General features: G+C 36.9%; 1 protein-coding gene and 1 long non-coding RNA gene across 3 annotated transcripts in view, besides 2 other annotated features; one reads left to right on the top strand and one right to left on the bottom strand.

The window, feature by feature from the left end:
- The window catches only part of USH2A (usherin), an 800,558-nt gene that overhangs the window by 175,237 nt on the left and 603,420 nt on the right, over window positions 1–21,901 (top strand). For both annotated transcript variants that reach the window (NM_206933.4, NM_007123.6), the window contains exons 13-14: window positions 986–1,627; window positions 16,076–16,259. In NM_206933.4, coding sequence (NP_996816.3) covers window positions 986–1,627; window positions 16,076–16,259 — 826 coding nt within the window. The remainder of the gene's footprint in view (window positions 1–985; window positions 1,628–16,075; window positions 16,260–21,901) is intronic.
- Window positions 1,123–1,729: an enhancer, noted in NCBI's record as "OCT4-NANOG hESC enhancer chr1:216419825-216420431 (GRCh37/hg19 assembly coordinates)". NCBI's record gives its function as "activates a minimal SCP1, AML or CMV promoter by ChIP-STARR-seq in naive H9 embryonic stem cells {active_cell/tissue: H9 hESC(naive)}" and the evidence as "EXISTENCE:reporter gene assay evidence [ECO:0000049][PMID:30033119]".
- Window positions 1,191–1,485: a silencer, noted in NCBI's record as "tiled region #8762; K562 Repressive non-DNase unmatched - State 24:Quies". NCBI's record gives its function as "represses a minimal TATA promoter and a strong SV40 promoter by Sharpr-MPRA in K562 cells {active_cell/tissue: K562}" and the evidence as "EXISTENCE:reporter gene assay evidence [ECO:0000049][PMID:27701403]".
- The window catches only part of USH2A-AS1 (USH2A antisense RNA 1), a 44,314-nt gene continuing 32,589 nt past the window's right edge, over window positions 10,177–21,901 (bottom strand). The window contains exon 4 of the long non-coding RNA XR_922596.4: window positions 10,177–10,377. This is a non-coding gene — a long non-coding RNA (USH2A antisense RNA 1). The remainder of the gene's footprint in view (window positions 10,378–21,901) is intronic.

Here is a 21,901-nt window from a genome sequence, read left to right as displayed (position 1 = left end):
GTACTCCTTTAAATAGAAGTAATATAAAAAACAGAATTTACTTAGTGTTTAAAGAGGTATGTTCTGAGTCACACAAGATGACAAGCAATGTGATTGCTTTATGAGCCAAGGAGAGCATGATTTATATTAATTGAAAATGATAAAATAGAGGAGCATACAAAAGGATTAAACCAAAAATTGCCCTGGATAAGTTTTATTTATATTAATTACTTAAATGTGTGGATTCAGAAATAAGTGTATATGCTGTTTTCACAAAAATAGTTATCAGCTGACATTTTTTTCTTTTTTCCCAGCTTCACGAAGGTATAATTAAATAAAAATTGTATATATTTATGGCAGACAACATGATGTTTTGATATATGTACACATTATAAAATGATTAATTCCAGCTAATTAATGTATCCATCACCTCATGTACTTATCATGTTTTTGGGGTGAGAACATTTAAGATCTAATCTCTTAGCAATTTTCAAGTATACAATACATTATTATTAAGTATAGTCACCATGCTGTACAATAGAGCTCCAGAACTTATTCATTCTGTCTAGCTGAAACTTTGTACTCAGCTTAACCTTTTATTAAACATCTTTAGAGATTTCTTATCTTTAGAAAAACAACTAATTTGTTATATGTAATTCTACTATAATTTTAAATGAGCACATTTGTTAAAATAGTTTTTAAGATTTGTTAAAGAGAAAAAGAGCTCCAGCATATGTAACAGAAACAACATTTGCATTAAGCATTTTTCTTTGCATTAAGTAATAATTAAAAATTTATGAAGTTCATCGCAAACAGTTGTATATTAAAGCTAAATTAAATATTGTCATTGAATTTTGAGAGTAAGATTGGCCCCCTATGGCATTGCTTGTGAGAAAACACTCAATATTTTGTGTTCGTATCATCTGCAGTAGCATTGTTTGTGTCTCGTCTATCTTGAATGAAATCATTTTCCCATCCTCACCTTTTAAATATATTTTATCTTTAGGGCTTAGGTGTGATCATTGCAATTTTGGATTTAAATTTCTCCGAAGCTTTAATGATGTTGGATGTGAGCCCTGCCAGTGTAACCTCCATGGCTCAGTGAACAAATTCTGCAATCCTCACTCTGGGCAGTGTGAGTGCAAAAAAGAAGCCAAAGGACTTCAGTGTGACACCTGCAGAGAAAACTTTTATGGGTTAGATGTCACCAATTGTAAGGCCTGTGACTGTGACACAGCTGGATCCCTCCCTGGGACTGTCTGTAATGCTAAGACAGGGCAGTGCATCTGCAAGCCCAATGTTGAAGGGAGACAGTGCAATAAATGTTTGGAGGGAAACTTCTACCTACGGCAAAATAATTCTTTCCTCTGTCTGCCTTGCAACTGTGATAAGACTGGGACAATAAATGGCTCTCTGCTGTGTAACAAATCAACAGGACAATGTCCTTGCAAATTAGGGGTAACAGGTCTTCGCTGTAATCAGTGTGAGCCTCACAGGTACAATTTGACCATTGACAATTTTCAACACTGCCAGATGTGTGAGTGTGATTCCTTGGGGACATTACCTGGGACCATTTGTGACCCAATCAGTGGCCAGTGCCTGTGTGTGCCTAATCGTCAAGGAAGAAGGTGTAATCAGTGTCAACCAGGTAAGAAAGAAATGTATTACATTTTCAGTGCACAATGACATTCCTTTTGTTAACTTAGGTAACTTCTCCCTGTTTCTGGTTTGTGGCTTCTACAAATTTTATTTCCAAAATCATTACTGTATTTATATCATTATCCAACACATATATAACTATTTAACTTATTCAAAATTATCTGCATATTTATGTTACTATTTTGAGAGGATACTTTAGATAAAACTCAGCCGATCGGATTTATTTCATAATTGAGACTCAATTTCTACACTTGAAGTAAATCTCCTTTTTAACAGTTTTTTAAAAATCAGATCAACAAGAGTCAATTTTATTTTCCAGAGAAAGGAAAATTTGAGTTGAATATCCATACAATGCCAAATATTCAAATGATGAACTAAATCTCTGAATAAAGCTGGCTAAATGTTTTTGCTGAAGAGGCTATATGTTCTAGTTTTATATAGAAATACCTAGAATTGTTTCCACATGCCATCAAATTAATAAAATAGGCCACTGTTTAATCTCATTATATACAAACTTATCTTTCCATCTCTTTCCCAATTGGGAGAGGGATAGACCCCATCTATGGCTCTCCTTACATTTAAGATTTTAACTAAAATACTATACCTTCTTTACAATAAATTCATTATGATATGATGATAAATATAAGTACTTATCCGTTGTTTAACAGCTGTGCTAATTGTTGTCCTGTCAGCCAATATTAGCTCTGAGTTATATGGGTCTATAAAAATGAGCATGATACCAACTCAAAAGTGTGATTTGCTTGCCAGAGAAGGAGTAGAACAAAAGTTCTGTTAACATAGCAAAGAATCCAGCCTAGGATAATTGGGCCATGCTTTTCCTTTGGCATTGGTCAGTGTGTAAGATCAAAGAGACAAGAAGGAATTGATGAAGAGTTCATTCTTTTTGTGATGTAAGTATTAAAAAACAACTTGAACTGGTTTAAACATAAATGGAGACTATATTATAACTAGATACTCCATAAAAACCTAAGGAGAAGGACCACTGCAGTCAGGACTCAGGAATTAGAATGCTTCCACTGATACATATTCATTTGTCTCTCTCTCTCTCTCTCTCTCTCTCTCTCTCTCTCTCTCTCTCTCTCAGAAGGGGACTTTACCTCTCTCTTTCTCTACATGGGTATATGGCCACCCTATGTCCCCTGAAATTGTTTATAATTCTACCACCAGCCACAACAGAGCGATTTATTAGCTACCTCTTAGTTATAATTTCTAGAGGAAAATTCGAATTGACTCAGTTTTGTTTGGTTGGTTACCTCTGAGCCAATTCATTGTGGCCAGGGGTGTCACGTACTTATAAAATGAGTATAGCTTTTAGGGACCATTTCATCAGGTAGAAGCAAGGTGGTAAGTATCCCAGAAGACAGGAAGATTATGGAGACCTGGGCAGACAGCCTAAATGACAGATACAGCACATTCACTCTTTTTACCTTCAGGTTAATCCTTTCAAATTTGCAATCAATTAACTTTTTGATATCCTAAGATGAGATGTTTTTTTCTCTTTTAGTGTTTATCAATATCTCTAATTTTGGCAACAAAGTCCTTTGTCTCCTACACAGTCAAATAACCATGATTTATACATCCTTCTTTCTAAGTAAACCAAAACAAGCTAATAGATCAAATGTTATATCCTTTTGAGTAATTATCAATTGTTAAAATTTACTGTTCCAGTCTAACTTTAATTGTATGTATAATACAAGTCACATGTTTTAAACAATTTTTCTGATTTTGGAAAAACTCTGAAATCATAGTTACAAACATTTGTTCCCTTTGGTCCTTCCAATGAAAGACCCAATCCATCATCTCAATACTTTGTACACCTACCAGATATCTAAATGATGAACTAAAATTGTTAGAAAACCTTTGTTTTTCTGGTTGTTTTGCATATCATTGCAGAAAAAGCCATGGATAATTTAATCTACACCATGCATAAGACTGTCTCATTTGTTCCCTTCCTAGGATGAAGAAATACTGACTTCATTGCTCTTTCCTTTATCTTTGTGGCTCTCATTGTGGTGATCTCTTTGTTCCCAACTCTAAGCCCTTTTCTCCCACCCAAATCTATGGCTCTTTCCTGTCTACCCTATATAGTATTGGCAGAATAATTCCCCTAAAGCACTTAATTCGTTATGTCATTCTCCTGTAGGGTTACCAAAAATGGGTTTTATTTTGCTTATCATTTGAGTCCAATCTGGGCAAACCTTTATGAGTTTTTATCTTCCAGTCGCAGTCTAGACACCTAGCTTTGCTTCCTGATATTCCCTTTCTCCCATCTTCTTCAGTCACTGCAGCCACTTCACTGGAGCTACACATGTCACATGCAGAGCCGATTTCAATCTACCTGATGCTTTGGTTCATTCTCCTTTCCCGACATGGAATGCAGTATAATCCTCCTTTTCAATGTTAGTTGGCATCCTCTGACTAGTTTTACTACTCAACATACTGCCTAAAATTCTCCATCACTCAGTGAACAACAAAGTTGACATGAGCATCAGTGTTTTAAGAGGTGGTTTAACTCAAACCTATAGAAAACTTGAAAATAAGGTGTTTTTGAAAATGTGCTCAAGCTTCTATTGTCTTCATGTTCAATTTATTATATGACCTTGAAGAGAGGTTTATGTTCAAGAAATAATAATACAGATCTCATTGTAATTACCCCATAATTATGCTTCTTTTTTCTGAAGACCATATGGACCTATAAATGAAGTCAATGAGTTAAGAGTAGGGAGCATTAAACATGGTGAAAATATTTTTATTTACTGAAAAAATTCAACAGCGTATTGTAAAATATTTAGTAGAAAATGTACCAGACTGAGAAAACATATTTGGAGCTCCATTTCTTCAGCTTACTGACTCTCTAAAGGCATTCCCCTGTCCTTCTCTACAGGGAACTTCCATATTTTCTTCCAACTGTCCATTTCTAGCCAGGGGTAAGCAGATTTATCTTTAAGCTGTTACCTGAGTGGAGCCTGTATCAGTTCTACTCATATCCTATTGATCAGAGCTGCTTTGTATATCCATACCTCACTGCAAAAGAGGCTGGCAAATAGATGCTCTATCTGAATATCAAGGTATATATTTAAAACTTGGGGCCTCTTTTATTATAAGGAGTAAGAAAGAGATTGATCCTTGAAGACAGCCTTGGCTATACTAGGAATGTCCTACACCTAAAAAAATTAGCTGGCAGAACATTAGTCAACTTCCGAATAGATGCTTTTAATGACCATGAGTTTTGTACTTTTATTGATAGATCCCATTATTATCATTTTTTAAAAAAATCAGCCAAAGTTAATGAAGGCCTCTTGAGTCCTGAGGAAATATATGCACAAAATCCCTTCTTGGGATCTTCGACTGTTTCTTACATGCTTTGCCTTATAGACTCACTGCTATTCTAGTCACTCTTCCTTCCAAGGACATGCTACAGTTTATAGTGGCCCTGCTGAGTTATTGACCCAGGATATTAACCTGGTTATGAAAAGCTAGAATGATCAAGCTACAGATTTGGATTATTATATTTTGTTGAACAGTGCAGTTATTTTCATATAGATAAACATTTCTCTTACTGAGAAATCATTTTCTTCTGGGTACTGTTGAGTTCTTAATTTAATCAGAGAACATTTTATGTGTAGTAGCAAACGGTACTTTCAGTGAGCTTAAATTTTGATGGGGAAACTGACAGAATAATTTGCAAATAAATATATGATATGAATTTAAATAGTGATGATTTTTGGATCTGTGGCTCTACTCAATTATGTTTCTTTCTTGCTAAGAGTTTAAGATATTATCGAGGTTACCAAATAGACTATTTATTTAGCACTTTTATATCAGTGTTTAGTTTCCAGAAAGGTGAACTGGGTAGCCATGTTTATATTGTACAAGTGAAGTCACATTGATATTTTATTGCAATGGAAACAGTAAGTGGTTTAAAAGGAGGAATGGTGAAGTGAAAGAAATTATCAACCTGTTTCTTTTTATATTATTATCTAAAACTAGTCATTTTTCTGTTTTTCTCTTTTGCATTTTTTCTCATTTAAGATCATAAGTGCCTGTTTTAAAAAGCAGCCCAATGAGATGACCTTGTTAAAACTCCTGATTATTTCTCAGTATCGTCAATTAAATGAACCCCTTATTGTGTGCCCACAATGTACAAGGAATTATATATACATATATATATATTTTTTTTTTCTTTTTTTTTCTTTTGAGATGGAGTCTAGCTCTGTCGCCCAGGCTAGAGGGCTAGAGTTCAGTGGCGCAGTCTCGGCTCACTGCCAGCTCTGCCTCCCAGGTTCATGTCATTCTCCTGCCTCAGCCTCCCGAGCAGCTGGGACTACAGGCCTGGCTAATTTTTTGTATTTTTTTTTTTTTTAAAGCAGAGATGGGGTTTCACCGTGTTAGCCAGGATGGTCTCGATCTCCTGACTTCGTGATCTGCCTGCCTAGGCCTCCCAAAGTGAGGAATTATATTATTATTGTAGTTATGCAAGTTGAATAAGGTAATCCTTGCCCTCAAGATATTGAAACTTTAACAAGGGAAATAAGACATTTGCACAAGTAAATAAAATACGATAATACTTTAAATGTGATCATTGTTTTTCAGTATTAGTGTTGATGCCCATTCTACATCTTCCTCTAAAGAAAAGAAGACAATTTGCAATAAACCTTTGGAAAGGAGTTTTGTTGCGTCTGTACTTAGGCAAATCGTGACTAAGAAGTTATTCTCCTAATGGCCGCACATGGTGGCTCATGCCTGTAACCCCAGCACTGAGAGGCTGAGGCGGGTGGATCACCTGAGGTCAAGAGTTTGAGACCAGCCTGAGCAACATGGTGAAACTCCATCTCTACTAAAGATACAAAATTAGCTGGGCATGGTGGCACATGCCTGTAATCCCAGCTACTTGGGAGACTGAGGCAGGAGAATCGCTTGAACCTGGGAGGCACAGATTGCAGTGAGCAGAGATGGCGCCATTGCACTCCTGCCTGGGCAACAAGAGCCAAACTCCGTCTCAAAAAAAAAAAAACAAAAAGACAAATATATACCAGATAAAGTCCTCCAAAAAAAGAGCCAGGAAAAGAGAAAGGAGACCAGGAGGGGGTTGCATGAAGAAAATTTAGTATTATTATCCAGTATTGCCATTGTTTAACATAATTTGAGTTTTAATCAAAATTTACATTTGCATAATTTAAAAAACCAAATAAAATGTAAAGAGCCCTGCCTTATCATTTTCCTAGGAATTTCCGTGCTTAGAGAAAACACCTTCAACTCCTTTAGATGTTTATTCTGGGCTTTCATGTCTGTAATTCTGGGTTTTACATATATTTCACCTTGATTTTTAAAATGTAGATATTATCTATTGTCTTCCTCCTATAGAAGATGAATGTTTAGCTCCTTTCACCTCCTGCTTAGCAATCCCTTTATTTGGTTAAATCAGTATTCAGAGATTTCTTTATTATGACTATATAAATTTACTGTACAGCTATGCCATATAATATGATTTGACTATATTTTCTTTGCTCAAAAAATTTGTCTTCCTTAGTTTTTCAGGACTCTCTTTGGCATTTCTAGGAAACAAAACTCTCCAAGGGAACTCTGTTCAAGAAATCTATCAGGTTTTGTTTTTTCCCACTAGATATATGAGTGGGAAGTTCAGGCTGGTTGATCTTTAGTTCTGTTGCACAGCTATATCCAAGGGCTAACATTTGCTGCTATACTAGGGATTTCCTTCCCCTGTCTCCTATGTTGGATCCTCCATTTCCTGAATCCTACACGTTCTCTCTTCTTGGTTTATTTGTGTATTTGGTAGAGCACATGTTCTAGTAGCTTCTGAAAAAGAATACAAGGAGGGAAGTAATTTGAGGAGAAAATTTTGAATATCTGAAGTGTCTTTATTGTCTACAAGTGTCTAAACATAAAGAACGATTTGAAATTTTACTATTATATGAAAACTTTTCATTAAAAAAATTTAAATGGTTGTACCATTAGCTGTTAGCAATGTTAATCAGATTCTTTCTTCTTTTCTACTTTTTTTTTTTTTTTTAACGACCTGGAAGTTTTTACCATCTCTATATCCCTGGGCACTCAGTGGACCCTTTTGCCTATCAGTGATGGTTCTTATGTTCTGAGAAAATCTGCAAACACATTCATAGCAACATCTAGACTCATGTTCGACCAAACAGTTGGACACCAAGCCTAGCCAAGTTGATGCATAAAATCAACAATCACAAGCAACCTTTCACATAATGCCTGTTTACATACTTGTTGAGTCCAGACTTTCTTTAGTTTAACTTCTAAAGGAAAAGCTTACTGCATCTTCCTGAAGTGTAAGAGGGACAACTTCCTGGTTGGGGAAGGTATTTAGCACACCTTATATCTGACTTCGGAAATCTCTGGGGCTTTCAATTCCAAACCTTTCTGTCTAGAGTTACACAACTTGAATAAATTAGCTTATTGTCGGGCTCTCCACTGCAAGAGCTTAGCTTTTTCTTATAGGTATCTATAATTGATTGTCATTTTTCTCCTTCTCTCTTTTTTTTTTTTTTTTTTTTGTTTATTTCATCTCTGGGGATTTCAGGAGGGAAACATTATTCAATCTACCATGTTTTACTGACAATGTTCCCCTAGTGTTTTTGAGGTTTTAATCTTTTCAGACCAAATCTTTGCAGACATCCTTGAGCCCTCTCTTTTCCCCACAACCTTTGTCTCATCTAATAAAACCAATTCTGCTGATTTTACCTTCAAGTATATCCAGAATTTGACCACTTCTTGCCACCCTTACTTACACCAGCCAGGTCCAAGCCACCTTCCTCTGTTCCTGGACTATTCAAGTAGCCTCCTACTCCCCTTTATCTTTCTTCCATCACTTCTCAACAGACAGCCAAAGTGATGCTGTTCAAACTTGAGTAACATCCCATCACTCCACCTTCCATTTGCTTTTCACCATAGCTAATAAGAAACAAAGTTGATATTCTTTAATAATCCTCATGGTCTATAATGTCCATGAACTCTCTGACCTCATTTCCACAAGTCTTCAGATCATTTCTTCCTCTCCAGCCAACAAGCCTCATTGCTGTCCTTCACAACTGTTCAATGCTCTATCTCAGGCAGGTATAAAAGTACCTCCATAGCAGTGCTCCCTATATATTTTCTGAATTAATGGATAATTATATTTCAAAAATACCTCAGTGGCATTCTCCTGTTTTTAGGTGTGAGCCTAGCAAAGGTCTGTGGTGTTTTTTTCACAACACTTACGAAAAGCGTTGTGTTCAACCTTGCAAATGAGGAAAAATAACAGTGACCTAAGTATCATATATTTTTTAACAAAACAAGATATAGTCTGCACATATTCATAGCCCACGAAAAGAGCAATGTGTGCTTTGGGGTGGACATTTTTTTATTTTTTATTTTTTATTTTTTTTGTTTTGCTTCAGAAATTCCACTTTAATGTTTTTTTTTTTCCTGGTTTTATGGTCTCTTACAGTAAAACTTGCATTGAAAAGAGAAACCCTTATCCTGAAGTATCTTTATCATAAACAGATGTTTGCAGTAGCCAGCCCTGCAATGTGCACAGTAAAATGTGCTGCTACAATCTGAAGCTTTCATTTACTTATTTAAACATGTCTGAGAGACCTAGATCATATACCACAGGGGCAGACAGCATGCTGGTGTGTGAGCAGTGGGGCATGGAGGGAGAAGGATGGGGTAGGAAGGGATGAGTAGCAAGCTTAAGGACTTCTGCCTCCCTTTCATCTGTGATTGCAAATACTGCTGACCCATAGTAGATGACTGCACATAGATTCTTGTCCCACTTTCCTAAAAAACATTATTAAGGAAGGTGCATGTAATGAAACCTCATGTATTATTAACCTAACCTTACTACGAATGTACAAGGAATAGGTTTAATTCAAGTAAAATTTATAGGCAATTTGTTAAAGCAGCAGTGCACATTAGAAGGTACATTAGAGACACATTGGTTTTAATATGCCATTCAATAACTTGAACAGAGGTTAAAAATGCTGCTTAACCTCCATTAAGTATTTTAAAAATGCTTTAATTTAAAATTATTTGGAGTGTGTGTACATATATGAATGTACACATATCCACACTAATAAATATAACACTAAATATGTTTTCCCAGTTCCCTTTTTCAGTGCTGGATGACCTTATAATGTTCAGCAGTAGGCACTTAATCAGAGGCCAGGCCGAGGAAGGCAGGGAAGGATGTCAACGCATCCCGAGCCAGTGACCCACCCTTGTCCTTGAGAACTAGAGGCAGAGAGTGCATATTGAAGACTCTGTAGCTTTGGAATAAAACAAAGGCTAATTTATAATGAAAACAGCTTCCTATGACATGTTTTGTACTAATAGGGCAGTGCCTCCTGCTTCCCCCTAGTATTTACTTTTGGTTTTCTTTTACAATTCATAAAACAAAGTATCTTGTTTCATTAAGTAGCACATCATATTTATTAAGTAATGAGCTCATAAACTAGAATTGTGTACAAGACCCTGCCAATGGAATTGGAATCAGATGCTGATGTTCCATTAAAAATCAATGCATCAAAGTTGATATCCAATTATGCCACATTTCCTAGTGTTTGGTGAGACAACTTTCTAGGTTAACATGTTTTTCACAGAGAGACCTGAATCTAAAAGTAAGAACCTCTTCCTTGATAAATCATCAGGAAGGAATCTTGTCACAGGAAATACAGACCACAATCTTAGGTACATCTGGAAAACAAAAAAAAGTAAAAGACACTGATAAGAAAAATTTCTCTGTCATAGAAAACTTGCTAATTGACAATTACAAAGATGATAATAGATAATGTTTACTGAGAGTCCGCTGTGTGCCAGGCTCTGTGATAAGGTTTTGCCTGCAAACTTTCATTTAATATGCACAATATTTCTAAGATGGAGGTGCTGGGATTATTCTCATTTTAATCTAATTGGGGGAATGAAATCTAATTAAGTAGAAGAGCCATTTATAAGTCCAGGTCCATCTGACTCCAGAATGTATACTCTGAAAGAGTGGAACTTTTTCTTTTTCTTTCTTTTTTTTTTTTTTTTTTTTAAGACGGAGTCTTGCTCTGTCGCCCAGGCTGGAGTGCAGTGGCACGATCTCAGCTCACTGCAAGCTAAGAGTGGAACTTTTTCTAAATAACTAACTCAATATTTATCTTACACATTCACACAACAAATATTTGAGGGTGAGTTAGATAAATACTGTTTATTTCATCCACTTTCAAGCATACCTCAACTCATGATTCTGGCTTACTGCTTCACATTCTGGGATACCTCATTTGTTGTTCAAAACCCAAGTAGTAGGCATAAAATGAAAATTAACAGAGTCCTGGGAAACCACAGAGTTCAAATAATGATGAGGTAAATTGAAGGGGTCTAGAAATGGAATTATCTCCGAGAACTTAGTTGGAGAAATTCTGGAGATGGTTGGAATGGCACAGGAGACAGGCTTTAGAGCATGCATTTGATAAACACTGAATGGGAACAGAGAATATAAGTTTTGCTGTGGATTTTGAATATGCATACACATACATATATTAATTATAATCTCCAAGATGTAATCAGAGTTGTCATTATTTGGGTTATTTGTTGTTATTGGATTTGATTCTTAGAGAATATGTTAATGAGGGCCTTTCATGGGTATTCACATAAATAGAAAAATTGGATTATTTATGAAACAGAAAATTCCAATAATGTTTTCCCTTACATGAGCATATTATTATGTCCTTTGTTTAAGAGCTAAGATATAGTTTTAGGGTGACATTTTCTTTCTGCAGCTCTGTTCCATCTGTTGCTGTGACGAGCACTATATTTTAAATTTATTGTGTCTGATCCATATACACTCCTCTCTAGACTCCCTGATAGGACAGGCCACTCTGACCAACCACTCTCATGACTCACAGATTTATGTTTACCATTTTCCTTTTCAGTGTTAAAGGGATCATCTCATATTTTAGAGGATAGAAGATATTTATCCATCTATCCACCCATTCATCCATTCAGCTATCTATCCATTTCATTCATACATCTGTTTTTCAATAAACATCTATTGAGTAAATTACCAGAGACTATGTTGGTGTTAAGGTATACAATCACAAATATACTAAGACATTGTGATTTAGTAGGGGAAACTGACTCACATGTAAATGTATCACAATGTGATGAGAGCCATATTAGAAATATACAATATAGAGAAGTAGTAAAGTGAAGGAAATGATTAATTCTTGAAGGATGAGGGGTCTTAGGAACTTAGAGAAAATGATTTCTGAACTGACTTTTAAAAGGAAATAGGAATCAGCAAGCTGCTCAAGAAGGGAGTAGCAGCCCAGAAAAAAAAAATAACAGCAGAACATTTAAAGCATACCTAATTTAATTGAAAAACCCTTAAAAATTGTTTTAAAAAAGAGAAATTATACCTTGGGATGAATAATATTAATATTTATGTATTCACTTGATCAAGTCTAGAAGTAATTTTAGCGTGATTTTATATAAAACTACCAAATGGAGGAAAATTATTATTGTTTTAATTTGAAAACTACCATCATCAACTATACTGAAATATAGTTTACAAACAATACAACAATATTGAAAATATTGATTCATAAAGCCATTACCAAGATAGTCTTTTGTTGCATGGATATAGGTGAGCCACCCATCCCTCCCCAGGCTCTTGTGTAACTATTATGTCCATTTTCTGCCTTAAGGTGAGAGTAGTTTCTTCTAAATGTCTTACAATTAGTGCTTAGCCCCAGCATTGCCCTCCTTTCTTGAATAAAGCCTAGAGGTTACACTTCTTTTCTTTCTCCCTCTCAAGACCTTGGCAAAGCCTAGTTGTTCATGGTCCTCAGGAGAGACATTGCTGGGAAATGGGCTCTTCTTTTATGCCCAGGACAAGTACTGTGCTATGCAAATAGCCGCTGCAGGAGATAATACCAGCTGCCTTGCTAATAACTTTGAACTCTGTAGATTCTTCTCCTAGGCAAAGCCACACTATTTTACAATATGGGTGACTCTTTGTTTTAGCTGGATGATACATTTTTTTCCACTTGAGATTTGTCATGTCTAAAACCAAGGGTCAGCTAAATAATATGGGAAAATAATAAACTAGCGAGCTGATTTGGACCATGTATATGTGAACTCTCAGCACTACGTAATGCAAGGTAATAATGTTGTCCTAATGACCATGCTTAAGAATGTGGTACAAAATCATTCATGGAATGAAATCTCAATATGATCAGTTACAATGCTACAGATATATAAAGATTTGGAACATGAAGAAGAGCTAACAAAGGGGTATCAGAAATGCATTACATTAAAGTAAATTGAGGTCAGTTATAATTAAGCCACATTCAGGAGTTGATGTTTAAGTGGAAGGGAAGGGAAAAGATTGTTTTCTATAGTTGGAAGTCATAAAAGGAGGTAATGGTCTAGAATTAGGCACATTCAGGTAAGGCAAGAGGTAATCTTTAAGCAGGAAGTTACCTGAGTCATCCTAATTAGAACTGCTTAAAAATAGGACAGCTAAAATACTGGTGGGATTAACCTTTATAATCAGGCTCCTGAGAGGAGGAGGGGAATTAACCCCAAGGCAAATTCCCATGCAGTCTTTTCCTGGAAGCCCTACCTTCACTTTCAGTCTCCCTAGGTGCTTTAGCATCTTTTTAGTTCTTCTCTGCTTGTACTTCTGATTTTTCTGTGACATTCTTTATTCCCCAAAACTTGGACTACCCAACTTCTGCACCAAAATGCTATCCCCTACTTGTACTTACAGGTTTATCTAATACATCATTTCTTCTAAAAATCACCCTTAATTTTTCCAAATTCTCTGTGGCTTGGAGCTATTGCAGTAAGTCTAAATTAATTCTACTTGTAAGTATCTGTGCTAATGGGTAATTTATCCAAATTGGAGAGCTGTTAGCACATTCATGATGCCATCATCATGGATTTAAGGGCCTAGATACCTTCACAGGAAGAAAAATACAAAGAATCACAACCACAGTGGCCTTGAATTTAAATGGAAGCCTTCTGAATTTGACTTTGATCATGTGATGAATCAGGTACAAGAATATATACTAATTGTCATGGCCATGCTCTATTTCTGGATATGTATATATAAGGGAAATTGCTGTCAGGTGGTACAAATAAACAAATAGCGTAACCTGGCTGTAAATTATGATAAAAATGATAGTATTAGTTGATTTCCGCCAACTGAATGGCACATATTTTGAGCTCTTTCTTTTCCTCTCATTGAGCACAATGTTTTCTATTTTGCTGCCCTTGAAACTTTGTAAGACAGAATGTATAGGATCTAGGGGAAGGAAAAAAACCCAATTGTTGGTAACTATAAGAAAATGGCTTGTTTTCAACAAGAGCCTGGAATGAGTTTTAGAGTATCCTAATTACTTTTTGCTGTTCCCTATATAATAGATAAGAGAATAGATTCACTTTTTGCTCATGCTCTCCTTCTTTCAATATCATTGCTATTTTATGAACTTTAAATTAGTGTCATGACAATTGTACAATTCATTTTTATTTGCTGTAACTGTATTCATTAGAATCCTTCTGTGATCCTTCTACCCCATTGTTTCAGTAAAATTCTTTGCAGCATTTTGCACGGGCTTGTGTGTGTACCCATGGGTCTGTGCATGTGTGTATATGTATATGTACACATACATGAACACACACATCACACAACACTAAGAACCATTTCTCCCTCATATGCCTGCTCCACATTCAACTGCCTGATAACTTTCTAATTCTATAACAGTTAACTTCCATCTCCTGGGTCTGAAGAGATTTTAAGTAATTTGAATAAACTTTTGAATCATATTTGTATTTCTTTCCTTTTTCCATAAGAAAAAAAATATGAGTTTTAGAGGTAAGCTAAAGTCTCTAAATTCTGCAGGCTTTTTTTGTGTGTGTACTACTTGCAGGGCTCACAGCCTGTTTAATAATTGAACTCATTTTTATTTGTTCATCGAATGTGTTTGGAATGCCTACTATGTGCCAAGCAGTGTACTGGCTGCTAGGGAGACAATGATGAATGAAGCAGATGGGTTTTCTGCCCTTATGGAAGTTAGATTTTGGTGGAAATGAGATTGATTATAATTTTCATGAACACTTAGGAAACAAACAGGATGCTATGCATTTGTAACAGGTATACCTAGCCTGGCCTAGGGAAAGTTGCCTGAGGAAGTCACGAGACCTGACTTACATGAGTGAACTGAGCAACAGAGATAGGTCAAAATCATCCCAGCAGACAGAACGGCCCATGAAAAGGCCTTTAGGTCTCAAGAAGAGGAACAAATATGACTGCAATGGACTGAGCGGGGGGATGAGCCATGAGCTAAAGCTAGAGACGTAGCTGGGACCTGACTGTAGGATTGAAAGCTGAGTGAGAGATTTGGATTTATTTCCTAAAGGGAATAGGAAGTCATCAGTTAGTTTCAAATAGAGAAGTGAAATGTCCAAACTGCACTTTGGAAAAAGACTGCTACGAAGAATAGATTGGAACAGGACAAGAGGGATGCAATTAGAAGAGATGGCCTCCGGGACTGGGTGGTCTGGGTGTAAACCTGGGTTTTGCTATCCATTAACTCTACCATTTTAGGAAAGTGTGTTAACCTTCTCAATCTTCTGTTTTCCAATTGACAGAATAGATGTAATAATAATTCATGCATTATTTGCATTTCTATGACAACTAAATGAGATGCTCAAGATAAAGCCCCTACAGTAGCATCTAGTTTGAAGTATTAGTTATAAAAAAAGTGGTTGGTGACTTTATCTGGGAGGTCGTAGCGGGGATGAAGAGTGGAAGGTTTAAAATTGTTAGGAGGCAACATCCATAGGACTTGGTAATTAGCAAAATATAGGGGGTCAGAGAAGTGGAGGATGCAAGCTTTTGTTTTAGTAAAATACAGAATTAGTTTAATTTGAATTTCAGATAACTTTTTTTAGTCTGAGCAAATGCTGCATGGGCTGCACCTTTGCTAAAAAATTTCATTATTTGTTAGAAATTCAAATGTAACTGGCTTCCTATATTTTATAAGTCTGCCCTACCAAAGGTACCTCAGTGTTCTAGGCAAAGCAACTGAATGACTGGTAATATCTGTTGGAATGGAGCTGATTAGAGGAGGTCAAGTTTTTTGTAGAAATATTGAAATATTGCATGGTAGATTTTAAATACATTGAATTGTAGGACCTGGGAGGCACCCAAGTCCAATGTAGATAATTTACTCAGTTTTTCTTTGGTCATAATTGACACACTGAAGGACAGATATAACCACATTTGTATTGGGAATTAGTGCCTTGGTAGAGTATTCTGTTTTTCTGTGTAATCAATTATTATGCTTTAAATAAAAGAGTGGATAAAAAGTATATATAAAACTTTTAATTTCTTTATTTCTAGGTTTTTATATTTCTCCAGGCAATGCCACTGGCTGCCTGCCATGCTCATGCCATACAACTGGTGCAGTTAATCACATCTGTAATAGCCTGACTGGTCAGTGTGTTTGCCAAGATGCTTCCATTGCTGGGCAACGTTGTGACCAATGCAAAGACCATTACTTTGGATTTGATCCTCAGACTGGAAGGTACATCTTTATAAGCTTTAATAATTTAACTCTTTCTTTAGCAACAGTTAACTTTTTTTGGCAGTTGCAAAGCAATAACTTCTGTAAAAAGTATTTTTTTTGCCCGGCTTGGTGGCTCACACCTGTAATCCCAGCACTTTGAGAGACCAAGGCAGGCGGATCACGAGGTCCGAGGTCAAGAGGTCGATATCATCCTGGCCAACACGGTGAAACCCCGTCTTTACTAAAACTACAAAAATTAGCTGGGCAAGGTGGCATGCACCTGTAGTCCCAACTACTCAGAAGTCTGAGGCAGAAGAATCGCTTGAACCGGGAGGGGTAGGTTGCAGTGAGCCGAGATCGCGCCACTGTACTCCAGCCTGGGAGACAGGGCAAGACTCTGTCTCAAAAAAAAAAAAGTGTTTTTTTGTTATTGATATGTTTTTTGTTCCGTGACATCCACATTTACTTAATGTATGCTAATCTTTGAATATTTCCTAGAGTGGGTTGCTATATATTGATAGATGTGGCCCATCCTAGCATCTGGGAATGTTGAATGAGATAAAATATATTTTCTCTCAAAAAGCTGAGAGTCTGGATGTGGAGAAAGACAGGAAAAGACATATCTGAAGAAGAAAATACACATACTCATACTTTCTCTCTCTCTCTCTCTCTCTCTCTGTCTCTCTGTGTATATATATTATATATATATATTATATATATAATATATATATATATATGGGATATATGTATGTGCTTTGTTCTTCATTGCCCTTGAATTTATTGCATATTTATTAGTTCATTGCATCTATTTATATTTTCCTTGCGTTTCTAATTTAGCTTTAAAGACTGGCAGATGAGAAACATAGCTTTGTATTCTGTGATATGATTTTTTTCAGTATGTAAAGTATATTATGAAAGTAAATCATTTTTCAAAGTTACACTCTCTTTAATATTCTACTTCTTATTCTCTGGGTATCTGTGGCCATTTGCCTTCACTCATTTGTGTTTATTGCTGTATTTTTGAAGATGTGCTATAATGCCAATTCTGTGTCTGTGTGTGTGTGTGTGTGTGAGAGAGAGAGAGAGAGAGAGAGTGAGATTATGAGCTTGTCTAAAGTTCAGACTAAATCTATGAATTCTTTGAAGCTCCTATCCCTGAGAAGCTAGTAGTGTGTGCTGAACTCAGAAAGCATGTAATAAAATGAGTCAAATCTGTCTCTCAATATGTGTATATTTATAAATCTAATTGCTAATTATTTCAGGGTTTGTGATTATCTGGGCTCTTTTAAACTCATTGCCCCCCTGCTGCCTGCCTTTTGGCTGTTCCACTCCTCATTAACACCTCCATTAGAGGGTGGACAGGTGACAGGGTAATTACTGAAAAAGAACTTAAACTAGTTCATTTTGACTTTCTTTTAAAATTTGATGTGATTTTTAAAAACTACAAAAATCATTTAAAATTTTATTAAAATAATTTTTGTTTTCTTGACATACATGCATATATTTTAATCTGTGACGCTCTACTTCTATCACCGTAGAAATGTTACCTTGATGGTCTGAGACCATTGTGACTCTTTTCTACAGATGTTATTATAAATCATCTAAATGAGTATACAAAGCGCATGGTACAGTAAATAGTAAATAAAAAGCACTGTCAGGATTTTGATAGTAAAATAGGAGCCAGTTACTGCACATACTAGCTCCTAGATGTAATTTTTTTGAAATAATATTCTACAGATTCCCCAGTTGGAACTCTTGGGCTGGTTTGTTTCACTCCTGGCCACCTCTGTCTTTTTCATAGTTCTGACCACATTTACCAGGAGAAAAATATCTTCCCCAACCCACTGTCCTCCTTGCAACACTCATTCCCATCAGTGCCATTTTGTGACATTCAATTACCCATTTTTGTTCTACTCATCCCCTTTGTCAGTCTTCCCAGGGTTATCAGCAAAACGCCTGCTCAGTGACCTGGGGATGTCTGATTGTCTCAGCTTTTTCACTTAACTTTTTTTCTTTAAGTGAGATCTGATTCCCTTCATTACACTGCTTCCTCTACCCTACAATGTTCTTAAATTCGTGGCTGAGCCTTTTACCCCATTCTGTTCCTCTCCCATTATCTACCCATCTCACTCTCACTCCCCACCTTACTTTAGTCCAGGAACAAGAATTGCTTAATAAGTACTGTTCCATCACCTGTCACTCTGCAGTAGGCCTGACTAGCACTGGAGCTAGATTCCCTGGGTTAGAAGGTGGATTTAAATGTTTACATAAATTGATAAGGAATAGGAAGGACCAAAGAAGTGGGTATAAGCTACATTTTTAGAAGATACCGAAGTTACAATAAAGAAAGAATTCAGTCTAGGCACTATGGCTAACTCATGTAATCCCAGCACTTTGGGAGGCTAAGGTGACCAGATCCCTTGAGTCCAGGAGTTTAAGACCAGCCTGGGCAACATGGCAAAACCCCATCTCTGTAAAAAATAAAAAGTTAGCCAGGTGTAGTGGCTCTTGCCTGTAGTCCCAGCTACTTGGGAGGCTGATGTGGGAGGACTGCTTGAGACTGGAAGGTCGAGGCTGCAGTGAGTCAAGATTGTGCCACTGCACTCCAGCCTGGGCAACAGAGCGAGACCCTGTCTCAGAAAAAAAAAAGCAAAAAAGAGAGAGAGAAAGCAGACTTCAGATTCGCAAAAAGAATGAGGGGCAGGTTGGAGTCTAGAAAATAGAGCTAAAGTATGAGAAGCTGAGTAGATTTCTAAAAATATGAATGATTCAGATTAAGTGTGGGGTTTTTTTTTTGGACAGAGTCTCACACTCTGTCGCCTAGGCTGGAGTGCAGTGGCGTGATCTCGGCTCACTTCAACCTCTGCCTCCCAGGTTCAAAAGATTCTCCTGCCTCAGCCTCCTGAGTAGCTGGGATTACAGGTGCATGCCACCATGCCTGGCTAATTTTTTTGTATTTTTAGTGGAGACAGGGTTTCACCATGTTGGTCAGGCTGGTCTTAGACTCCTGAACTCGTGATCCGCCCACCTCGGCCTCCCAAAGTGCTGGGATTACAGGCTTGAGCCGAGTGTGTGTTTTAAACAAAAAGATCCACAAGTTTTATATAAATGAGTTTGGATATCTTTACATATTAGTTGGCTCCTGTTATATTGATGGGGGTGGTGAGATTACCTTTTTAAAATTACAAATTGTCCTTGGAAATGGTCGCACTTTTCTTCCATCCCTGTATTAGTCCGTTTTCATGCTGCTGATAAAGACATACCTGAGACTGGGCAATTTACAAAAGAAAGAAGTTTACGGGACTTACAATTCCACATGGCTTGGGAGACCTCACAATTGCAGTGGAAGGTGAAAGACACGTCTCACATGGTGGCAGAGAGAAGAAAGCTTGTGCAGGGAAACTCCCCTTTTTAAAACCATCAGATATCGTGAGACTTATTTACTCTCATGAGAACAGCAGGGGAAAGACCCTACCCCATAATTCAATCACCTCTCACTGTGTTACTCCCACAACACATGGGAATTGTGGGAGTTACAATTCAAGATGAGATTTGGGTGGGGACACAGCCAAACCATATCAATCCCCTTTGTTCTTATCTTTCCAGTTCCAGGTTTTCCTTTTCAGAGGGATTCTATTTTTCTCCCTTTTCTAACTCCTGCCATTATTTTAAACTACTTTGACATGTACTGATGCAGTTCTTTGGCCTCTTCATTCATTCCCCACTCCAGCAACCCATTTCCATGGCTACACCCTGGATTTTGTGATCACTTATAATTTCTCTATTTCTCAAATCTTCCTAATCCCATGAATGCTATTCTATGGATATATCACATCTTTCCAATTCCAATTCACCCTGGAAGCCTCACATAACCTGCTCCTTAACTTCTCTTAATCTTTATCCCATTATCCCTCCTTAATCCTCTTTTGATCAACCCCATCCCTAACTTCACTGTCTTCTACTTCTAGCCTGAGGCAAAACCTTTTTAATTATGACCCTTTTGAGTACCTGATTGTGGGCTCCCTTCTGCTGTACTGTGGGGTCAGCTCCAGAGACGATCACCCTACACCTGCCCTGATCTGTGAGGACGTGGGGAAAGATCATGTGCCTATGCTGATCTGAAGCACTACCATGTATGTACTTCTTATCAATTTACTTTCTTTCCCCCTTTAAACTCCTACCAGTCTCCTCAGTTTTAATTCCATGCTCTTGCCCTTGCAGATAATCTGGCCCTCTGCTCATAGACAAAATAAAGCCAGATATATGTATCTCCAGATTATCTTTTCTCCACCTCCAGCTTGTCTACATTGTCACACATTTTTAATTTTTTATCTAGTCTTAGAAGAAAATCCTGTGTATTTTTGCCTAAAAATAACCTGTTCCCAGTCCTTGATATGATCCCTTCCTGTTTTCCTACTCTTGTTCCTCCATTCCATGATCTTTGCTCCATCAAATCCTCCCTTTATTTTAACTCAAACATCTCTCTATAGGTAATATCATAACTGCCTACAAAAATGCTATTCATTCTACAAACTCCTTCCTTTGATTCTGCCCTGCTTTATGAGCCCTGAAAGTTATTGTCTAATCTCTCACTCTTCATTCACTTACTAACATTTAAAAAGAGCACTATGATTCAAGAAAACATGATTTAAAAAATAAAAGATCAGATTTTTTTTCTTCTTCATTTTGTTTCTTTCTCATTCATTCTTTATTCACCATGTGTGGTACATACATGTTAGCAGAACATACAAGTTAGCAGAACTTGCAACATGCAGACATTCAAGAACTAGTTATGTGACTATTAAATTCTCATCCAAATCAAAGACAAGGTCTATAAAGAGATATAATAAACAAAAATGGGTTAAGGAAAAGACAGAATGAGGGAACAGGTTTCACTGGTGGGAAAAAGGGAGGGGTCAGTGGTGCTTTCCACTTGAGTCCAGTGAGAAGGTCTTATTTGATCCCTTGAAGGGTGACATGTGTCTCCTGCAGTTGGAGAGACCAGTGCATTGATATCTATCTTAGACCTGGCAAATCTAACTGAGAAGAGACAGTCTACCCAGGTTTGGATAGGTAAGCTAGAAGACAGTGCCCTGCATATCTTAGACTCCCAGAGTTCATCATGACAAGGAAGACTACGTATTTCTCATGACCGGATGAAGACCACAAGGAAGAAAGACAGGGTAAGGTTGTCTTAGTCTGTGCTCAAAGTACCACTTAGAAGATAAAGGGGCCTGTGTAGAATAAAGGACAAGATTACTGTGGACTACAGGTTAATAAGCAACCAGTCGAAAAGAAAATGCATCTGACTGCACTAAAACAAAAGGTGAGAGATACCTAATGGTGAGAAAGATCAATGAAGAAGTCAGGAATGTACCACTGTCAGTGATAAGTCAGTTTTATGTATATGCAGGACCAGAGACAATAGACTGCTTTGGGTGGTTCTAGTCCAAGTGAGTTTCTACCCTTCCTGCAGCCTCTACGTGAGGGAGGAGGCTAACCAAGCTACCTTCTCTGATTATAGACTTGCTGCCTTTATCATGTCCTAGCTTGATGAAAGGAAGAGAAGTATGTTCTTGAAAATGTCTGTTCTTTAAATAAAGATTGGAATGTTGACTAATATACAGGATTAGACTTTCTATTTTCTGAATTGAATTTGT

The sequence above is a fragment of the Homo sapiens genome, chromosome 1, assembly GCF_000001405.40.
Source record: "Homo sapiens chromosome 1, GRCh38.p14 Primary Assembly".
NCBI classification, from domain to species: domain Eukaryota; kingdom Metazoa; phylum Chordata; class Mammalia; order Primates; family Hominidae; genus Homo; species Homo sapiens.
The sequence above is the reverse complement of the archived record's forward strand: the minus strand, read 5'-3'. Positions and strand labels throughout refer to the sequence as shown.